This window comes from Homo sapiens, chromosome 1, assembly GCF_000001405.40.
Source record: "Homo sapiens chromosome 1, GRCh38.p14 Primary Assembly".
In the NCBI taxonomy this organism is placed as follows: domain Eukaryota; kingdom Metazoa; phylum Chordata; class Mammalia; order Primates; family Hominidae; genus Homo; species Homo sapiens.
The window spans coordinates 41,384,364-41,403,391 of record NC_000001.11 but is presented as its reverse complement, the minus strand read 5'-3'; the positions used below and the strand labels follow the sequence as shown (position 1 = coordinate 41,403,391).

Sequence of the window (19,028 nt, the reverse complement as noted above, 5' to 3'; positions counted from 1 at the left end):
TGCTCAGGGAACAGCCCAGGTAGAAGTCACGGCAGAGGTTCAGAGCCGCGATGAGGATGCTGTGAGCCCAGGGCAGTGACAGAGATGGAGAGAGGTGGTCAGATTTGAGATAATTTAGGGAGACAGAATTGCCAGGACTCATTCATGGCCTAGACATGGATGGTAAAAGAAAGGGGAGAGTGTGACATCTGGGTCTCTGATTGGTTGTGGTGCCTATTTCTTTTTTCCTTTTTTTTTTTTTTTTTTTGAGACAAGGTCTTGTTGTTGTGTCACCCAGGCAAACACAGCAGTGGTGCAAACACAGCTCACTTCAACCTCGACCTCCCGGGCTCAAGCAATTCTCTCACCTCCACCTGCTGAGTAGCTGGGACCACAGTCAAGCACCACCATGCCTGGATTTGCTTATTTTTATCTTTATTTTTTAGAGATAAGATTTCACTAAATTGCTCAGGCTGGTCTTGAACTCCTAGGTGCAAGCAATCCTCCCGCCTCGGCCTCCCAAAGTGCTGGGATTAGAGGTGTGAGCCACCGTGCCTGGCCTGGTGCCTACTTCTAAGATTGGGAAACAGGAGTGATTTGTGAATCATCTTTAAAGATGGGACTTTAGCCTATGGGACTTCTCTCTCCAGGGGAGGAACATTCATTGGCTGCCCTTTGCCTTCACTCTCTGGAGGGTTGCCCTGGCCACTCTGGAAGAAATGTATGGAAAGGCTATATGGCAGGGAACCCGATCAGAACTCTGGTTTTTAAGTGACAGAAACACTACTCAGCCTCCCATAGGCACGAAGAGGGATTTACTGGCTCACAGAATCCATGGAACTAACCCACAGGAATGGCCCAGAGAGCAGCTCCTCTAGAGTCTCTCCAATGCCAGTTCATCCTTCCCAGCTGCAGACCCGCTTCTTCCCCAAGCCAGGACACATGGCCACAGTCCCTTAGATTTTTTTGAAAATCAGAATCAAATTTTATCTTAAACTTTTTCTCTTCAATAGGGCCGACCTGGCCACCTTTGGCCTAAAAATGTGAAGAAATGTGATAATGTATAGTTTGTGAAGAGGGAAAAGACTACCCCAGAAATCCATATATTAAAAAAGAAAGATGTACTAATCTAAAAACTATTCACACACAAAAGCAATGAAATTCCTTTGAAACAGGAAAAAGGAAATATGGAAAAATTCATAATGGCATCCTCTCAATTTGTATATGATTATAGGATATAAAAGAAAGACATTCTCTTGCATTTCCAGTCCAAAAACTTGGAGAACTTTAATTGGCGGGGCTTCAACCATGTGCCCCTCTTGGGCCAATCAGCTGTGGCCAGGAGTGGGGTTCCTATAAGAGCCTGGCAGCTCACACTATGACCACAGGGCTGGAGGGGGCTGGGATGGGCTGTGATTCCCAAGAGAAGGGAAGGGTGCTGAGCAGATAATGTCCCTAGTGTTCCTTATACGCCTTGAGTGTCAGCTGAAGTTCTGACTAGAGAGATGGAACAAAACCATGAGAACAAGGAAAAGTTTGCAGAAGGGTGGAAAACTCAGTAACTTGTCATTTGGAGGTCCAGGAGGGGCAGCCAGAGAAGAGTTTGTGACCCCCAAAAGGCATCCAGTGAGAACAGAGGATTAAACGCATTGTCTTGACAGAGAAAAGAATATAGCTTCAGCAGCGTCCAGGTGTGGGGTGGTGGGGTGGTGAGATGGTGGGATGGTGGGGTGGTGGGGTGTGGGGTGGGGATCTAACTGAGCTTAACTATAACATCTGGTGAAAGTGTGAGGATGACTCCGATATGCCCAGAGCCTGGGGTTACCAGGATATGCCTGCTGATTGGAGTTGAATTGTCAAAGCATACAAAAGTAAAGGATAGTCCATTGCTTTCGGAAGAGTGAAAGGGTCTTGCTAGGCTCACTAGCTGTATAACTTTGGGCAAGTTAGATTTCACATCTCCAAGCCTCCATTTGCTTGGGTTTAAAGTGATGAGTTGCCCGGGCATGATGGCTCACACCTGTAATCCCAGCACTTTGAGAGACGAACGTGGGAGAATCGCTTGACCCTAGGAGTTTGAGACCAGCCCGGACAACACAGTGAGACCCCATCTCTACAAAAAATAAAAAATAAAATGATGGGTGTGCAAAATGAAATAACATATAAATATGATTGCCTGTCTCTTAAGGTTGAGTGAAGATTAGAAGAGAAAATGTATCTAAAACACCTGCTACAGGTTGGGTGCAGTGGCTCATGCCTGTAATCCCAACAATTTAGGAGGCCAAATTGGGAGGATCACTTGAGCACAAGAGTTCAAGACCAGCCTGGGCAACATGACGAGACCCCCTCTCTACAAAAAATACAAAAATTATCTGGGTGTGGTGAAGCTCACCTGTAGTTCCATCTACACGGGAGGCTGAGGTGGGAGGATCAATTGAGCCTGGGAGGTGGAGGCTGCAGTGAGTCATGATCATGCCACTACACTCCAACCTGGGTGACAGTGAGACCCTGTCTCAAAAAAAAAAAAAAAATACCAAAAACAAAACAAAACAACAACAAAAAAAACACCTGCTACAAAGCCTGAGAGCCAGGAACTTAGTAAGTGCTCAGTAATGTTATCTGTTATTTTCATCACTGCTACAAAAGTGTATGGAGGGGATAGGTCTCTTAACTTCTGAGTGCCAATGAGAGAACAATCTCAAATACAAGAGGCTTTAATATGTGGTCAATGACTCTACCCTGGGCAACAGTAATAGAAGCTCTATTATCTGATCATCTGTTCTGTACCAGGCACTTTGCTAAGTCCTTTACTATATTTTCTCATTTAATCCACACGACAGTGATTAGTGATAGTGTATCAGTTAGCTTTTGCTGCATAACAAATTACCCCAATGTTTATAGCTAAAACAACCACTGCTTATTAAGCTCATGATTCTGTGGTTTGGAAATTCAGCTGAGCTCTTCTTCCGGCCTTTGCTGGGCTCACTCATGCATCTGCAGTCAGCTGCTAGTCAGTTAAGTGGCTCTGCTTCTGGGGGTTGGCTGGCTGACATCTGCATGCTGAGGGTGACTGAGCCGTACATTTCTCTTCATCCAGCAGGATAGCCCATGCTTGTTCACACAGCAGCTGGGCAGGGCTCCAACAGAATGGAGGAAAGCATACAAGGCCTCTTTAGGCTTGGGCTCAGAACTGGCTCTGTCACTTCCACCACATTCTGTTGGCCAAAGTAAGTCCAAGATCATCCTAGATTCAAGGCAATGAGAGAAGTTGCCAAATTTTACTGCCATGAGGCGCACTCAGGGAGGGATGGGGAATTGTGGCGACTTTTGCAATCTACCACTGATAGGTACTAATATCACTGCCATTTTCCCTGTGAGAAAAATCAAGCCTCACGGAGGTAAAAATGGCCTGACCAAGTTATGCAGGTAGAGCATGGCAGACATGTGAACCCCAGGGTCTCAGGCTTGACTACATGGTGACATTCAGACTTCATTCTCTTAGGGGAAGCTGGCAGGCTCTCGTCTGTCACAATCCAAAACAACCCAATTTTATAGGCATCAGCGAGTTTGGCTGAGATGAAGACGAGGCAGGAACAGATAAAAAGTTGGGTCTAAAGCAGGTCAGGACCCGGGGGCTCAGACAGAGCCTGCAGCCATGGCGAGGTTCAGTGACACAGACCTCAGCCTGCCTCACCAAGGCACAGAACTAAACTTCATGGACCAGAGCTGACCCTCTTCCAGGCAGAAACCTTGCCTGGGCCTCAGGCTGGCAGGGTCCCACCAGGAGCCCATGGTGAGGGAGCTGCCTCCGGTGTTGGCTGCTGGGCTCCCAGCCCATGGTGGTGACAGCGCAGGCAGAAAGATCAAAGAGGTGCCACAAGGTGAAGTAGAAGATCTGTCCTCTCCAAAGAGCTCTGAAATCATCTCTGCCTGTAGGGAAGTGAGCAGAGGGGCACGGGGGGTCTGCGATGGGACTGCCCCACTTCCTCACCTCCGCTACGACCGGCCCCTCCCCCACAGAGACACCAGAGCCATGAGCACAGCTGTGCCCAGCCAAGCTGCCGGGTGCCAAGACGGGCCTGGCGGGCTCCGTCTCATCTGTCTCTCTTTAGCAGGAACAAATGGGAATGAGGGAATCAATTAACAAGGCTCCTTAGCCAAAGGACTGCTGCTCCCTCCTTCCCTAGCCTGTTAACCCTTTGCTTCCAGGGCTGGGAGGGCTGCCCTGGTGTGCTGGCCATGCTGGCTTCTGTCTTCTCTGTGCCAGATGCCCATGGCAGCTGCCAAGCTGAGGAACCAGAGCCAGAAACGCAAGCACCTCTATTCCACCCGGCGGAATTTGGGGTCAGCCTTGAAGCATACTCAGGACTCTGGCCCACAGGCAGGCCTGGACTTTTTTTCTCTCTCTAGAGACCTAGGATCCTCTCCTGGCTCAAAAACCTCTGAACAGAAGAGACAGGCCTAACAGTGGCCTTCAGACCGGGATGGTAGGTCACAGCCGAGCCCTACATGGGCCTCACACTGGATCTGGGAAAGACAAGGGCCCAGGGGACAGGGCAAGATGCATCCAGCCACGTTCAGAAAGCCCTGACAATTCTAACTTCAGAAGCAAATGGTCAAATTTGCTAAGAATGCTCTCTGGGGAATTCAGAAAGGCAACTATGAGGGCCTGGAAGTCCTGGGTTGTCAGGAGCCTTAGGTTGGAGTCCCTAGCTCAATAGCTGATGTGGCCTTATGACATTCTGAGTTATTAATTAATAGGCCACTCTTTCTCCCACCAACTCTCACCAAACGACTTTACTTGCTCCCCAAGGGTCTTTCCCAGCCTTGGAAGTAAGGCCATCAGTCTTGAGCCTGCTACATTACACAACACGGGGGTGCCATTCATAGCCTGCTCCACCATACACAGTGACACTGGGGTCACCCCTGCATGGAACAAAAGAAACAAAAGTGTGTACTGTTGGCCTTTTACGTTCAAAAGATACTCTTCTAAGTTAAGACCAAAAAAAAAAAAAATTGGATGCAGCTTGCATTGAGAGTGCTACCCACAGATTCCACATCCCTGCACTCTAGACTGGATAAAAGACTCCAAAGCCTGAAAGAAGGTGAAGAAAGGGATGAGACAGACAGGTCAGAGGGAGGACCACATACTGAGCTGCACCCAGAAGCTCCAGTGGTTTCCAGAGCCAGGGAGCCACATGGGAACCAAGTGTGCCCAATGACAAGGCTCACTCCACACAGCTGAGTGAGCTCTGTGGCCCAGCCAGGGCCTGGGACAGGGACATATGTCAGTCCGTTCATTCATCCATCCATCCACTCATTACAAAAATGGACAGTGAGTGCCTACTGTATGTCAGACACTATTCTGGGCAGAGTGAACAAGCAGACAAGGGCCTGGGCCTTGGGCAGTGTGAGGATGAGGACCACTCAGTGACTGAAGCTGGCTATTCGCCAGTCATCCAGCAGAAGAGAGGTGGTCTGTGCCCTGAATCCTGGCTCAGTGCCCACCGGGATTATCCAATGGGCAGAGCCCCCTCCTGCCCCTCTTCAGCACCCTAGTACACTTGTTGTGAGCCCCCTGTGTAAGTGTGGGGCCCTAGACAAGCAGAGAGATGACAAGGAAGGGTGGGGGAGAGATGTGGGAAGGTGGAGCTAGTTGGGAGACTGCCCAGTCAACAAAACATGTGCTGAAGCACCCTAAGGTGCTCCAGTACAGGCAGGGGATAGCTGGACCTCCCTCCCTTGTTCTCAGCATGTTTGCCTTTCTCTTTTCCTACTGCAGAGGAGTATCCAGCCTGCTGAAAACTCCAGAGGCTCACCTTGACCCTAAATTCAAAACTCAAGCCAGGACCGAGCGCGGTGGTTCACGCCTGCAATCCCAATGCTTCGGGAGACTGAGGCGGGCGGATCACAGAAGTTGGAGACCAGCCTGGCCAACATGGAAAAACCCCGTCTCTACTAAAATTACAAAAATTAGGCATGGTGGCACATGCCTGTAATCACAGCTACTCCGGAGGCTGAGGTGGGAGAATTACTTGAACCCGGGAGGCGGAGCTTGCAGTGAGCTGAGAAGGCACCACTGCACTCCAGCCTGGGCAACCTAGTGAGATTCTGTCTAAATAAAATAAAATAAAATAAAATAAAATAAAATAAAATAAAATAAAATAAAAAAAACTCAAGCCAGGGCTTCTGATTGGCCCAGTGTGAATCACGTGTCCTTCACTGAGCCAATCAACATTGCCCAGGAGGGTAGGCTCTGTAAACGATGGCAGCTCCCATTCTAAAATCAGGGTTAACATGGGTTGAAAATGATTCCTTGTAGACAAAACCACAGATATCCACACCAACCTTGGGCATATAGAGATACATGGAGCCTCACTTTTCTGACCTGTAAAATGGAGCTAACTATTGTGCCAACCTCACTGGGCTGTCTCAAGGGTTAAAGTAGATAAACAAGTGTGCTTGGCACACTTTACAGATATTCGAGAAATGGAAGGCAAGTGTGATTTAGGACCTCTCTGGCGTCAGTCAACCCCTCTCTAAAATGGATGTCCTGCTCGATCTCCCCAACCCTGATGTCCCAGGATCCCATGGCCCAGGGCCTCCGTGCAGGTGGTGAGTGACCACAGACCTTCCTCTCAGAGATCTAGTGTCCTCCGTCTATTCCTGGGAACTGAAATCTCCTCCTGCTGCTCTTCCCCTCGCCAAGGAATGTTTCTGGCCCCCTGTGACCGCCCTCAACACCCCACATCTCTGCCTAGAGTCCTGGGAAGAGCATGTACAGGGCTATTCTGAGCTGGGGAACCAGAGTTCAGACCGCAGTTCTGGCTGGGTGATCTTGCTCAGGCACCTTAAGCCCTCTGTGCCTTAGTTTCCTTGACTGTGACAATGGGGTGGTGAATAGTAGAAACTCTCTCGTAGGGCTGTTGTGTATATGGCCCAGCACAGAGCGAATGCCATGTAAAAATCTTAGCCATTCCCGTTGTTAACACTGCTGGCCCTCGCTCCATCTGCTGCGGAAATAGCACGGACAGGTCAGAGTGAGCTGAGCGCTGGGACAGAGCCATAAACAAGACTGACTGACGCCGGTCCTGTCCTCCTGGAGCTCCCATCCTGATGGAGGCAGACACATCAACGGGCAATTTCAATGCAGCGTGACCAGGGCCACTCTCAAGGGAAGCCTGGGCGGCCGGAGCAGGGGCCCAGCCCCACGGATAGAGGGTGAGGGCAGGCAGCCAGGAGAGGTGATGGCTGGAAGACAGTGCAAGTGGACCGGGTGAGGGAGTTCAGGGTGCATCCAGGCAGAGGGGCCAGACAGTATTCAACCTTGAGAGCTGACCGGGGGAGACACAGGCTGATCTTGGCCAGTTCAGGTGGAGGGAAGGTGGGTGAGGTGGGCATGGAGGGCGTCCAGGTGGAGGCAGTTGCTCTCCCAGGCTGAGTGTGGAGCCTCAGCCCCGCTCTCTCCCTGGACTGTGCCTGTGTGTGATTTTGTGTAACTGAGATTATGTGTGTATGTGTGTGGCTGTGTAGGGGGTGGTGTGTTTGTGGGTTTGTTCCTCGGCAGGGTTGTGGTGAGGGTGTGAAAAATAGTGTGTTTGGAAAGGGTATGCCTATTTGAGACAGTTTAGGGTGTGACCACTGTGTGTGAAGTTGTGTGTGTGACGCTATACGCGTAACTGTGTGTCCATGAATGTCCCTGAGACTGTGTGATGTGTGGCTGTATGTAGCTGTGTATTATGTGTCTTTCTGTAGGTATGAGTGTATAAGTGTGTGTATGTATGTTAGACACACATGCACTGCTGTCTGTGGAGACCAGGGCAATGAGAGCTGCTCCCCCACTTCCATCCAGCCCTGCCGCAGAGGAGACACACACACACACACACACACACACACACTCCTGGGGCTGGGAGGGGTGGCTGCCTGTCGCTGCCACAGCCAGTCAGAACTTGCTAATTTGCATGTTAATGAAGCCCGGGGAGCTCTCCAGCTCCAGACTGACAGGAGCCCCTGGCACCCCATCCTCCCCTGACAAGACTGGGAGTGAGGAGCGGGGAGGGCTGAGAGACGGCAGAGGGAAGAAGAGACAGAGGAGGCTCTGGGATGAAGCTCCCCTTTCTCTTTCTCTCACTCCATCACCCCTCTGCAGGCCCCAGGCCCCTCCACTTAGCTGCCAGCCCCCACACTCTCCCTCCACTCTCCCCACAAGACTCTGAGCTAGGGGAGAAAAGGCTGGGTCAGAGCCCTCACCAGGCATGCGCAGCCCTGGGGTGAAGGCAGGGGACGCTGCTCAGGGCTCCTCTATGAGCTGAGCTGAGCTGCCCACACCTGCCCCCTTCACAGAACATGCAGCGAGTCATCCCATGGCACCTGCAGGTGCCCTGGGGAAGATGCCTTGAGCCAGGCATCTGAGAGCAGCAGGCACTAGTGTGCCCAGGTTGGCGCCAACAGTCAGCAGGCTCTCTCCTGCCCTCTGCACCAGGCTTCAGCAGAGGCTGAGGGGACTGCTAAGCTCTCAGCCTGCCCTGTGTCCTAAGAGGGAAGACTCAACCCATGTGGGAACCCCTGCCAGGGTCCTGCCAGCAGGGGAGATATGAGGCAGAGTGGGGGACCGGGACAGGGCTGGGGGATCTGAAGATATGATGTGTGAGGAGTAACAGTGGGGTCATAACAGTGGAGGGCACCCACCACCCTCTCCCCAGAGGGGCTGTGCTCCCAGCGAGGGAAGGGCGGTAGCGGCCGGAGAATGGAGCCTCGTAGCTTTGATCAACAGGTCAGTCCAGGATTGTGCTGTTTCATTCTCAGTGCCGTTGCCATTTGCAGTCTTGTCTGGGTCCGGATCCATCCCCCTTCCCATCCCCCCATCGCCTTCGTGCCCCATCCCCTCCTCCCGAGCTCCTTCCTTTCCTAATCAGCCACATCCCACAGGGGGCTGGGCTCTCTGGGGAGCCCTCCACAGCCAGCTCCTAAACACACTGTCTGGTTTTGTCTCAGAGAAGTTTTGTCCCCTGCCTTGGCAGAGGGACAGTCTGGGCTCCTGCCCTGTCACCCTGGCCCATACTGGGCACTTTCTTCCCTCCTTTGCCTTCCCTTCTCCCCACATCTCTCTTGACCCAGGTCTGGCCCAGTGCTCTCTGTCGCCCACTGGGCCTAGGCCTCCATCTCTCCCTTTTTTATCCAAATGCTCAAATATTCATATTTATTCATCTTCTCTCTCTCTCTCTCTCTCTCTCTCCTCTCTCTCTCTCTCTCTTTCTGTCGTCTTGGTTCTAGGTCCCTGGACACCCACCCTGCCTCTGCCCCATCCCCCCACCCTGTGGCTACGCCTGGTCCCCAGATGTGCTTACCAGAGCTGGGAGGCAGAAAGGTGAGGGAACCTCAGGGCCCTGGGTCTCTGCAGGTGAGAAGAGAGCAAAGCAGTTGCTAGTGTTAATTGCAGGGAGGATGTCTGGCAGAAATAAGGTGGTTTTTCTGCTTCAGTGACGACTGTTACAATCAAATTGTCCACAGACAATTAGCAGAGTGGGAGAAATAAGAATTAGATTTCTAATTATTTTCCCAGTAAAAGCCGCCCTGGACCCCGTGGGTGATGGGGAAGGGCTTCTCAGTGGAGCCAACAGGCACTTTTGTGGGCCTAGCTCCCCTGAAGCTGGTGTGAGGGAGTGCCAAGTAGCAGGTGGTAGAGACAGAGGAATGCACCCCACCCCAGTGCTCAGCCCCACCAAGATGGCAGGAAGGAAAGGACGCACCTTGCTGAGCCTTGGAGTTCTGGAAAGAACCAGCATCTAGAGGCTGCTACTGGCTCTCAGGACCAGCCCTGGTACTACTTGCCGTCTCTTCCCATTTTCAACCCTCAGTTTGCTCATTCCAAAAATGGGGGACTAAGAATTCTCAGGTAGTGGAGTTGTTGTGAGCAGCCAATGATGTGAGCTGGTGGGAGCATCTCACAGCGACCGGCAGAGGGCAAGGGGTCCTGCCTGCTCCTGCCCTGGCCTCACTCTCACACCATGGTGCACGTGCTCACACACGACTGTGTGAATGTGTAAGCCCACACACACATTCACGTATGGGAAGCCTCTCTTTCCACACGCCTCTGCACATCTGGGTGCACAGCCTAACTCTTAACAAAATGGGCCAGGCATGCTGGCTCACGCCTGTAATCCTAGCACTTTGGGAGTCCAAGGCGGGTGGATCACTTGAGGTCAGGAGTTGGAGACCAGCCTGGCCAACATGGCGAAACCCCCTCTCTACTAAAAATACAAAAATTAACCAGGCGTGGTGGTGAGCGCCTATAATCTCAGCTACTTGGGAAGCTGAGGCAGGAGAATCGTTTGAACCAGGGAGGCAGAGGTTGCAGTGAGCTGAGATCATGCCACAGCACTCCAGCCTGGGTGACAAAGTAAGACTCCGTCTAAGGGAAAAAAAAAAAAAAAAAGCTTTTCCTTGATCTGTGTGAGCCTCCATTTCCACATCTGTTAAGGAAGCTGATGAAGGTGCCTACTGCATAGGGTTCAAGGACACATGTGGAAAGGGCATGGCTCCTGCCTGCTGCATGGCATGCATTCAGTAAATGGTGTTAATGATGAAAATACTATATGAGGTGTCCAGTCCATGCCTGCAAGGCTAAAGGAGGAAAGTAGGGTGTGTTTCGGGAGGGAATAGGTTTAGGAAGTTGAAGGAAGTGATGAATAAGCATTTGTCAATCCCTACTAAGCACAAGCCCTCTGTGCTGCGTGCTCTGGACCCATCAGGCCCAGCCTTCATACTCAGAGAGACAGGCAGCAGCAGAGCAGGCAAAGACCGACTGGGTTTGGGTGGGACAGTTCTAGGTTTGTGTTGGAGCTGTGCCCTTGGTACGAATCAGGATGCTTCCACTTCCCCCTCTGAGCCTCAGTTTTCCTCTCTGTAAAGTGGGGATAATACCTACCTCCCAGGGTAGTTTGCAGGCTGTGACAGTGCTTTGCACCTGGGAACATGCTTTTGGGGTGGAGGGGCCATTGGCACAATCACTCTGACTTGGACACCAGTGCCACACACGTCCCACACACAGACTCAGTGTCTACAGGTGGATGCCTCCAGACCACCCAGAGCCTTCAGGCCTGACTCCACATCGAGGAGAGGGAAGACCTAGCTCACTAATGTCCGACAGGTGCCCAGGCCTAGTGACAGCCAACACACCTGCACAAAGGTCTCATACAGGTGCCACACATGATCACTCTGTCACATTCATACACACACACAAACACCCCCACCCACCCACACACACACAAACACCCACGCACCCTTCCTGGGCCCGTTCCTTCTCGCACACCCAGGACAGGCAGCCAGGATGTCCCCGAGTGAACCTAAGAGAAGCTCAAGGCCGCACCCACCAGGGCTGTGCTGAGGGAGGCAGCTGCAGCCCAGCTGTGGGGTCTGGGCTGGGGTGAAGGGAGCTGTGTGGAAACCCAGATGGGAGTTGGTATAGGAGGGGCACAAGGCTGCATCCTGGGCCCCACCTTCCCACCTCTAGGCCAACGGGCTGGGCTTGGCAGAGAGGCAGTCACCTGCCTGGAGGTGGGAAGAGCCTCTTTCTGTATTGATCCTCCCTCCCCACCTGCCCTTTATTCAACAGTGACAGCGACCCTGGGGAGGATGCCTCTGCCCACCCTACCTCAGCCCCACCTCTGTCTTCCTCCCCTGCCTCCTCCTGGGTCCATGGTCTCTGTCACTCTGGGCCTGGGTCTCCCTGCCCCTGTGCTGGGCTATGTAAATGTGGTATTTCCCTCCCATCATCGGGGCTGCCGGCTTGGCTCACATTTAATTTGATCCGTGGCGGCGCCTCTGCGGATCCACTCATCAAAGCAGGAAGACAATTAGGTGAATGTCAGGGTGGCCTAGGCCCCGCAGGGGCCACCAGGGCCTGGAGCTGGGACTGTGAGGGGTGGGCTTGGGGGCCTGGCTTCAATCCTGGTCTCCCTTTGGGCCGGTCTATGCTCAGGTTCCAGTGTTTGTTGTGTGACCAGAGACCTGGACTGCCCAGCGAAAACCAGGCTTCCCTCTGCCTAGACCCTGCTTTGAGGGTGTGACCGGTGCCTTTGAAGTACAGGAAAGGCCCTGCAGACCTCTCTTTCCTTCTCAGGCCACAGAAAGCATGGGGCCCAGGCATCTGCATGGCTACATTCAGGTCGACCCCTGGGCTGGCAGTAGTTGGGTTTGGGGGAGGATCCAAGCTCTGGACTGGGTCCTGCTCCATCCCTGCCACCCTGGCCTTGATGCAGAGCCCAGAACCACTCTTTGGCATCCAAAGGGCAGGGTATTTGGAGAACATGCTGGCATTAGTACTTCATGATGGGAGAGATGGCTTCTCCAGACATGTTCAAGGATAGCAGTTAGGAGTTTGGGCAGGAACAGAATGGAAGAATAGGTGGGCTCCTCTAATGAAAGACAGGTTTATGCCCCCCTGGGAGATCCCCCACTCATACCGCCCAAAGCCTGCCAGGAATGGTGGTGGCCAAAGGCCCTGCAGTGAGCATGGGGGGACTCTGATCCTGGGTCATTTGGGCATAAGAATAAATGTAAATATGACCTTACTTGTCCTCATCAGTTCTGCAGCTCTGTGTCACCTCATGCCAAGGACATGAGCTCATTTAATTCCCACATAAACCCATTTTACAGATGAAGAAACTAAGGGTCAGAGAAGCTAATTGCCCAGGGTCATTCAGCCAACAAGTAGTAGAATCCTATAGACTCTGGATTCATGCACTGTCCACATCTCCAGCTGCCCCCAGAGTGCCAGCCCTCCTGAGAGAGCTCCCCACATCCCCAAGGACACCTCCTACTGGGGACCAGGTTACCCATGTCTCCTGCAGCCTGGTGGAGGTCTGCCTGCTAGGGTGAGCCTCTGCCTCACCCGCCCACCCGTGTGCTAGGGACAGAAGGGGGACTTTATGTGCAATCTGCCCGACTCTCCAGAAAGCACTTAGGTTTACGATGTGCATGAAATTGATCGCCAGTTGGCGCAGCCCCCGCTCTTTCAGTGCCAGCCCAGTGCTGGCAGGAGGCTCCCCCACCACCCCCCACTTTCAAGGAGCATCAAAGCCGGCTGCCAAGGCCTCTCGTGAGGGTCCTTCTCCAGTAACAAGTGCAGAATGGAGGGGGGAGTTCTGCCCAAAGGCCTTTCCACAGTGCACACACCCCCGCCCTGTGAGAGTTAAATAGCTCCATGTTTTATGCCAGTTCCAGCCTCTTCTGCTTCCCCTCTAACAAGCCGATGCTTTCAAAGGCCCCACTAATTGGTGTTTGCACCTCACACACCACGACACTTTGATAGTCACTTAGAATGTGGGTCCATCCATCACACCCAGGGTACAGGGAAGCTGCTCACCTTGCTGTACCAGGGTACCCGGGCCTGTGTGCTCTCTGCATGTGTGCAAGTGTGTGCATGCCTGCATGCACATGTGAGAGTACTCATATGCCTTCCTTCATATGTGCAGAATATGTGCCTGTACAGGCACACCTATGTGCACCTATGTGTATAAATGCTCCCTTGAGGATATTTCTTGTACAACTCTGTGTTTGTATGTCAGTGCATGTGCATGGGTAAACACTAACATCTGTGCACGTGGGAGTGTGAATTTGTGTGTATGCACACTTTCCTAGGTAGTGTTTGCATGCACATGCAATAGTGCTTTCGTGTGTTTAGGCATGTGCAGAAGTGCTTTGTATGTTTGTGTGCAAACATCTGCCTGGGGGCATGTACATGTGAATTTTTACAAGTCTACGAATGAGGAATATATTCATGTCTGACTGTGCCTATGGGTGTGTGGGTTTGCCTGCCTTAGCACAGGGGAGAACAAACTTGTTTGTGTAAATACAGGGAAGATGTGGCGATTAGTGAAGTTCTGTGTCTATCTGTATCTTAGTGTGAATGTATATACAAGCATATGTGTACCTGGCCATTTGTGTCTGGCATGGAGAGAAAAAGTTTAACCTAGTCAGTGGCCCATCAGCTTTGGGTTTGAGACCTGGCTCTACCATTTTCTGGCTCTGTGACTTTGGGCTAGTCACTTAACCTCTTGAATCTCCAGTTTTCTCATCTGTAATGGAAATAATAAAAGCATCTTCCTCTGATTGGTGTGCAGGTCAAATGGGATAATTCATCTCAAGGGCTGGCAGGATGCAGGGGCGAGCCTGTGGGCAGACAGGCAGACTCTCCTCTCTCCCTATGCTTCCCCCCTCCCTGGGAACACCCACAGTGCAGACACTTTTCCTGGCCTCATCATGTAGCTAGCTGCCTGAAAGACACCCTGTGGGCACTTGGGGAGAGAACTGGAAGAATCGTGAGAAAAGCCTGGTTGGGCCCAGGTCACACAGTGACAGCCAGGACTTCTGAGATTTTTGTTGCATCCAAAGAGAGTTCTCACTTTATTACCTACCTTTGACATGTGGGAAACTGAGGTGCAGAAGTAGATGCAAGCTGGTGGCAGAACGGAAACTTGCTGTCAGCAGACACAGCCTACAGCCAGGCTGGTGGGAATCCAGGATGTCCTTCTGAGTCCTGAGGGAGAAGGGGCAGCTTCACCTTTCTAATGTGCCTCGTGCACAAATACTAAACCTGGGATTCTTCCACTGACCCTGGCCCGGGGTGCCTGCCGCAAGCTGAGTGTGGACCTCAGGGAGCCCAGCCCTGCCTCTCTGTAAACACAGATCGAAACACACAGCTCTAGTCTAACCCTATCATTTACTTACCAAGAAACAGAGGGCCAGAGAAGGAATGGAGCTGGCTCAAGGCCACAGGGCAGGAGAAAGCTAGAACAAGGCTGCTTATGTCCCAGACTGGGGTTCTCACTGTCTTGCTGTCCTCGTTCACCATGCTGCCACTCAACGGTATTGACCTGGCTGGTGGGTCATGGCTAGGGCAGGGCTCTCCCCATGGGCAGGCCACAGGACCTTCAAACCCACCTGGTGGTCAGCCCAGAGGATCCACGTGCCTCCATTTGGGGGAACACAGCCTCTAGACGTGGGCTCCCACACTGCCCCACCTAAGATTGCAACTAGTATGTGTCCCTTGTTTTTATCCTTCTTAGTTTGCAGGGTACATGTTTTATGTTACTTTTTTAATTTAAAAAATTTAAACTTTACAAATCACAACCAGCAGCAGCAGCACGGCAGCCTCACCAGTTGACATCCCCAGTATCATCAGCATCACTATCCCCCAAAGTCATCGTCGTCTCCAGCATCAGGGTGTGACTGTACCCTGCCTGCAAATCCCCACCCCTTAAGCTGTCATGACTCCCTCACCCTTCATAAATGTCCCTGACATGGCCCAAGAATCAAGCAGAAATGGTCCTCTTCCACCATCCACATTTCATTTCTCACTCCTGCCTCGTCCATCCCTCCCTCACTATGCCCACGCTCATTCCAGGATCATATGACCCAAAGCCCTCCCAAATCTTTATCTCTCCCTGTTCCCAAGAGCGCTGGGCCTAGCCTGTCCTGCAGAAACTGCGGGCTGGGCTTTGGCCCTGGAGTCTTCACTGGGGCAGGCAGCCAGCAAAGGGAGCCGGGAGGGGAAGGAGGGGTGAGTGGGCCCCTCCTCAGGCTTGGTGCCCCACCCACCCAGCCGGAGGCCTGTCTGCCTTCCTGAGCTCATTAACTGCAGGTCACCGTTCAGCAGGAAAGACAAGGTGTGGGTTCTGCGGGCATTCATTAGCCGTGAGAGGAACAGTGTGTGTGAAATTAGCAGTCACCTGAGGACCTCGATAATTTCATAATTAGGAGGCCTAATGGCTCCAGCTCTGGATGCCAAATGACTTAACCCCTCACCTGCTGGGCCCCCAACCCCCAGCCCAAGGCTGCAGGGGAGGGCCTGTAGTGCCCTCTCTGCTCCAGTCCCCCTCTCTAGGGCCCAATAATGTTTATTTCTGCCTCCCCAGTGCCCAGCACAAAGGCTGGCACAGAGGGGGCATAAAACCAAAGTTCATGGAGTGAATGAATGAATGGATGAATGAATGAGCAAGTGTCTGAATGGGGAAAATGTTCCAGCCCCTGCTGCAGGTGCTCAGGGGAGGAAAGCTTTGGAAAGGGGTGAGGAATGGCTCTGCATCTGCCTGAGCAAGTATGCAGCTATGCACATGCTGGTCTGTGTGTGCATGTGCACGTTCGAAGCCACACACATGTAGGTCTATGGTGTCTGCTTCTAAGAACCTTTCCTGGGTCCATGTTCAAGCTCTGTGAACACACTCATTCTGCTGCCTCCTCTCTGAGAACAGGGGATGCTCTGTCATGGGGCCCAAGTGCCTCCCTTGATGCCATCCTCTCCTGGCACCACCTCAATAATGGTGACTCCAGAATTTCTATATGGGGGCATTCTTTAGGGGAGAAAGGCATTCTAAGGGGCTTACCTTGAACCTGTATAGCAAGTGCATTGTTTTTACCAAGACTGAATGTTTACTTGGGAGTCTGGGGTACTGGTGCTAATAAGAGTGCTGAAATCACACCCTTTAGCATAGGGGGAGCTGGTCAGGACAGCCTCCAAAGACCCCCCTCACCCCGCCACTTTTCTCAGCCTGGCCCCCCTCCTCCCAACCTTCCTCTGGTCCTTTGGAGGTGAAGGATGAGGTGGAGGGGTGGGGTCCTTGGGGCTCCAGGCTAGTGCAGGCCTTACCCAGTTTGGGACAATTGATTCTGAGCCTCCCTGACCCAGCCTCACTGTAGAGAGAAGGAGCTGAGTGGCGTGAGAGGGGAGGTCTATAAAGAAATAGGAGAGGAGGTGTGGGGAGAACAATCAAGGAATATCAAGGGAAAGAACGGAGGGGAAGGGGAAGAAAGGGGAGGAGGAGAAAGGATAGGAAGGAGGTGAGAGAGAAGAGAGAAGACGGGAGGGGAAGGGAGAGGAGGAGAGGCAGGGAGGCTGAAAGCATTATCAGCACTTAAAAAGCCAGCGGCTCAGTTCTTCTTTGGCACAAATAATGGCTTTTTATGAATAAATCATGTGTCAGACGCCTCCCAGGGAGTGGGCATAGAGGGGAGCGCGTCTGCTGGGCTCCAAAGCTGATGGGGAAGAGCCAGTTGCAGCCCCCCAGCCACAGGGGTGTTGCCCCCTTTCTCCTGATGAGACCCAGCAGGACAGAAGCTGTGTCTGGAATGATCCCTGGCCTGAGCCAGGCAGAGCTCGGTCAGAGCTCTGAGGTGGTCCCACTCCTCCCTGCTCATAAGCTGGGCTGGATCCCAGGGTCTGGAGTGTCCCTCTGCTCCCCTCCCCTCCGACAGACAGCAGAGCAGCCCAGAAGACACTCCTGGCAGGGGAACACCAGTGCTGGTGCTCCCGGAGAGAGCTTTGTGCCAAGACAGGCAGGCAAGCCCAGAGAGGAGGGTGTGCATGGCACATGTGGGGACAGAGACAGCACCTCACACAGGCATGGACTGCACAGCCCCGGCACTTGTGTGGGCACACTTGGAGGCAGATCCACTGTCATTCCCACCACACACACACGCACACACACACACACGCCCAGCCATGTGCACACTCGGCAGGGAGAACCTCAAGCACCACCCCACCTGCCCAGCACACTCACTAACCCCTAACACACACACAGACACACACACACAGGCCCACACAGACAGACACATATGGGACTACATGGAAACACACAGCCCTGCGCACACACACCAGCGGCCCACCCTCCGTCAGCCTAGGGTGGGGGCAGTTCTGCAGCCCATATGGAGCCCACACCCAGCTGGGCTGTCTCAGAGGCTGGCTGTAGGGTGGGGCTGGGGCATCTGTCCCAGGGGAGGGGCCATCAGCCTCTATGTGCTCCCCACTTGGCAGGGACACCCGCCATACCAGGTTGGGTCTCAGCCCCAACTCAGAGCCCAGAATCTGTGCGGATTCTACTGGCTCTGAGTTCCTCTGCTCCTCTGCTCTCAGCCACCTCATCAGAGGCAGTGGGGGCTGCACGAGAGCCTGGGTGTTGGAGGTACACACTCAGGGGCTCTGGCCCTTGCCAATAGTGTGACCTCACACAATAATTCCTATCTTATTTACTCCTCAAAACAAATGTGTGAAACAGGTGCTACTGCCCCATCTTTCAGACCGAGAAAGTGAGGCTCCAGAAGGCAAGAACATTGGGTATTCCTTTCTAGGACACCGTCCCCAATCCCCTGGGGTCCTGGTTTTCCTTCTCTTCTCCTCTCAGCCAGTGGGTCCCTCCTGTGCCAAGATGTTCATCAAAGCAGACTTGGACTTCCTGCTCTTCCAACTCTGCAATCCTCCCCCTCCCAAGCCATTTCCAACCCCTCAGTGACACCTTCTGTGTTCCTGATTCTTGACCTCCCTTTCCAGCCCAGACACCTTCTGGGCTCTGACCCCACTATGCAAGTGGACACCTCAGGGCCACTATGTTGCCCAGTGCCAGAGAATGTCATTTCACGCAGTGTGTATGCTCCTGAACATCCCTCCCTCTGCTCCAAATCCCAAAGATTCTCATGAACTATAGCTCAAATGAGCACATCAATTTCCCTAGGGCTCCTCCTGCTTTGGTGTGCCCCATCTCAAGGAATGGCCCTGTCTCCCCAGATACCCAAACAAAAACCAAGCATCAATTGATGCTTCCCTGTCCTTCATCCCCCAGGTCCAATCCACAACCAAGTCCCCAATGACTCCATATCCAAAGTAGATGTGAATTCATCCTTTCCCTTGCAGCCCCACTGTCCTCCCCCATAACTTGGTTTGAGCCACATCAGCACCTCTGGCTGGGCCACACTGTCCCTCTTCCACTGTTGAACCCTCTGGCCCATTAGCCTCCCTGCCATCAGTAATCTGTCCCTCTCTGAACTTTAGCCACACTCAACTGCTTTTGGTTCTGGAATCCACACACCTCTTGACTCTGGGCCTTTGAACATGCCATTTCATCTAAATCCCCTTCCCAATGCCAGTTCCTCCTACCAAGCTTAGCTGAGGCAGCACCAGTCCAGGCACCTTCCCTGACTCAAGTCCAAGATGAGTGCTGCCCCATCATTCATTCCCACGACAGCCCCCAGCTCCTCCTCCGATCAGCACAGCTTTG

At 52.7% G+C, this 19,028-nt stretch overlaps 2 annotated features.

The window, feature by feature from the left end:
- Positions 7,890 to 8,459: an enhancer, noted in NCBI's record as "H3K4me1 hESC enhancer chr1:41860605-41861174 (GRCh37/hg19 assembly coordinates)". NCBI's record gives its function as "activates a minimal SCP1, AML or CMV promoter by ChIP-STARR-seq in naive H9 embryonic stem cells {active_cell/tissue: H9 hESC(naive)}" and the evidence as "EXISTENCE:reporter gene assay evidence [ECO:0000049][PMID:30033119]".
- Positions 15,342 to 16,322: an enhancer, noted in NCBI's record as "H3K4me1 hESC enhancer chr1:41852742-41853722 (GRCh37/hg19 assembly coordinates)". NCBI's record gives its function as "activates a minimal SCP1, AML or CMV promoter by ChIP-STARR-seq in naive H9 embryonic stem cells {active_cell/tissue: H9 hESC(naive)}" and the evidence as "EXISTENCE:reporter gene assay evidence [ECO:0000049][PMID:30033119]".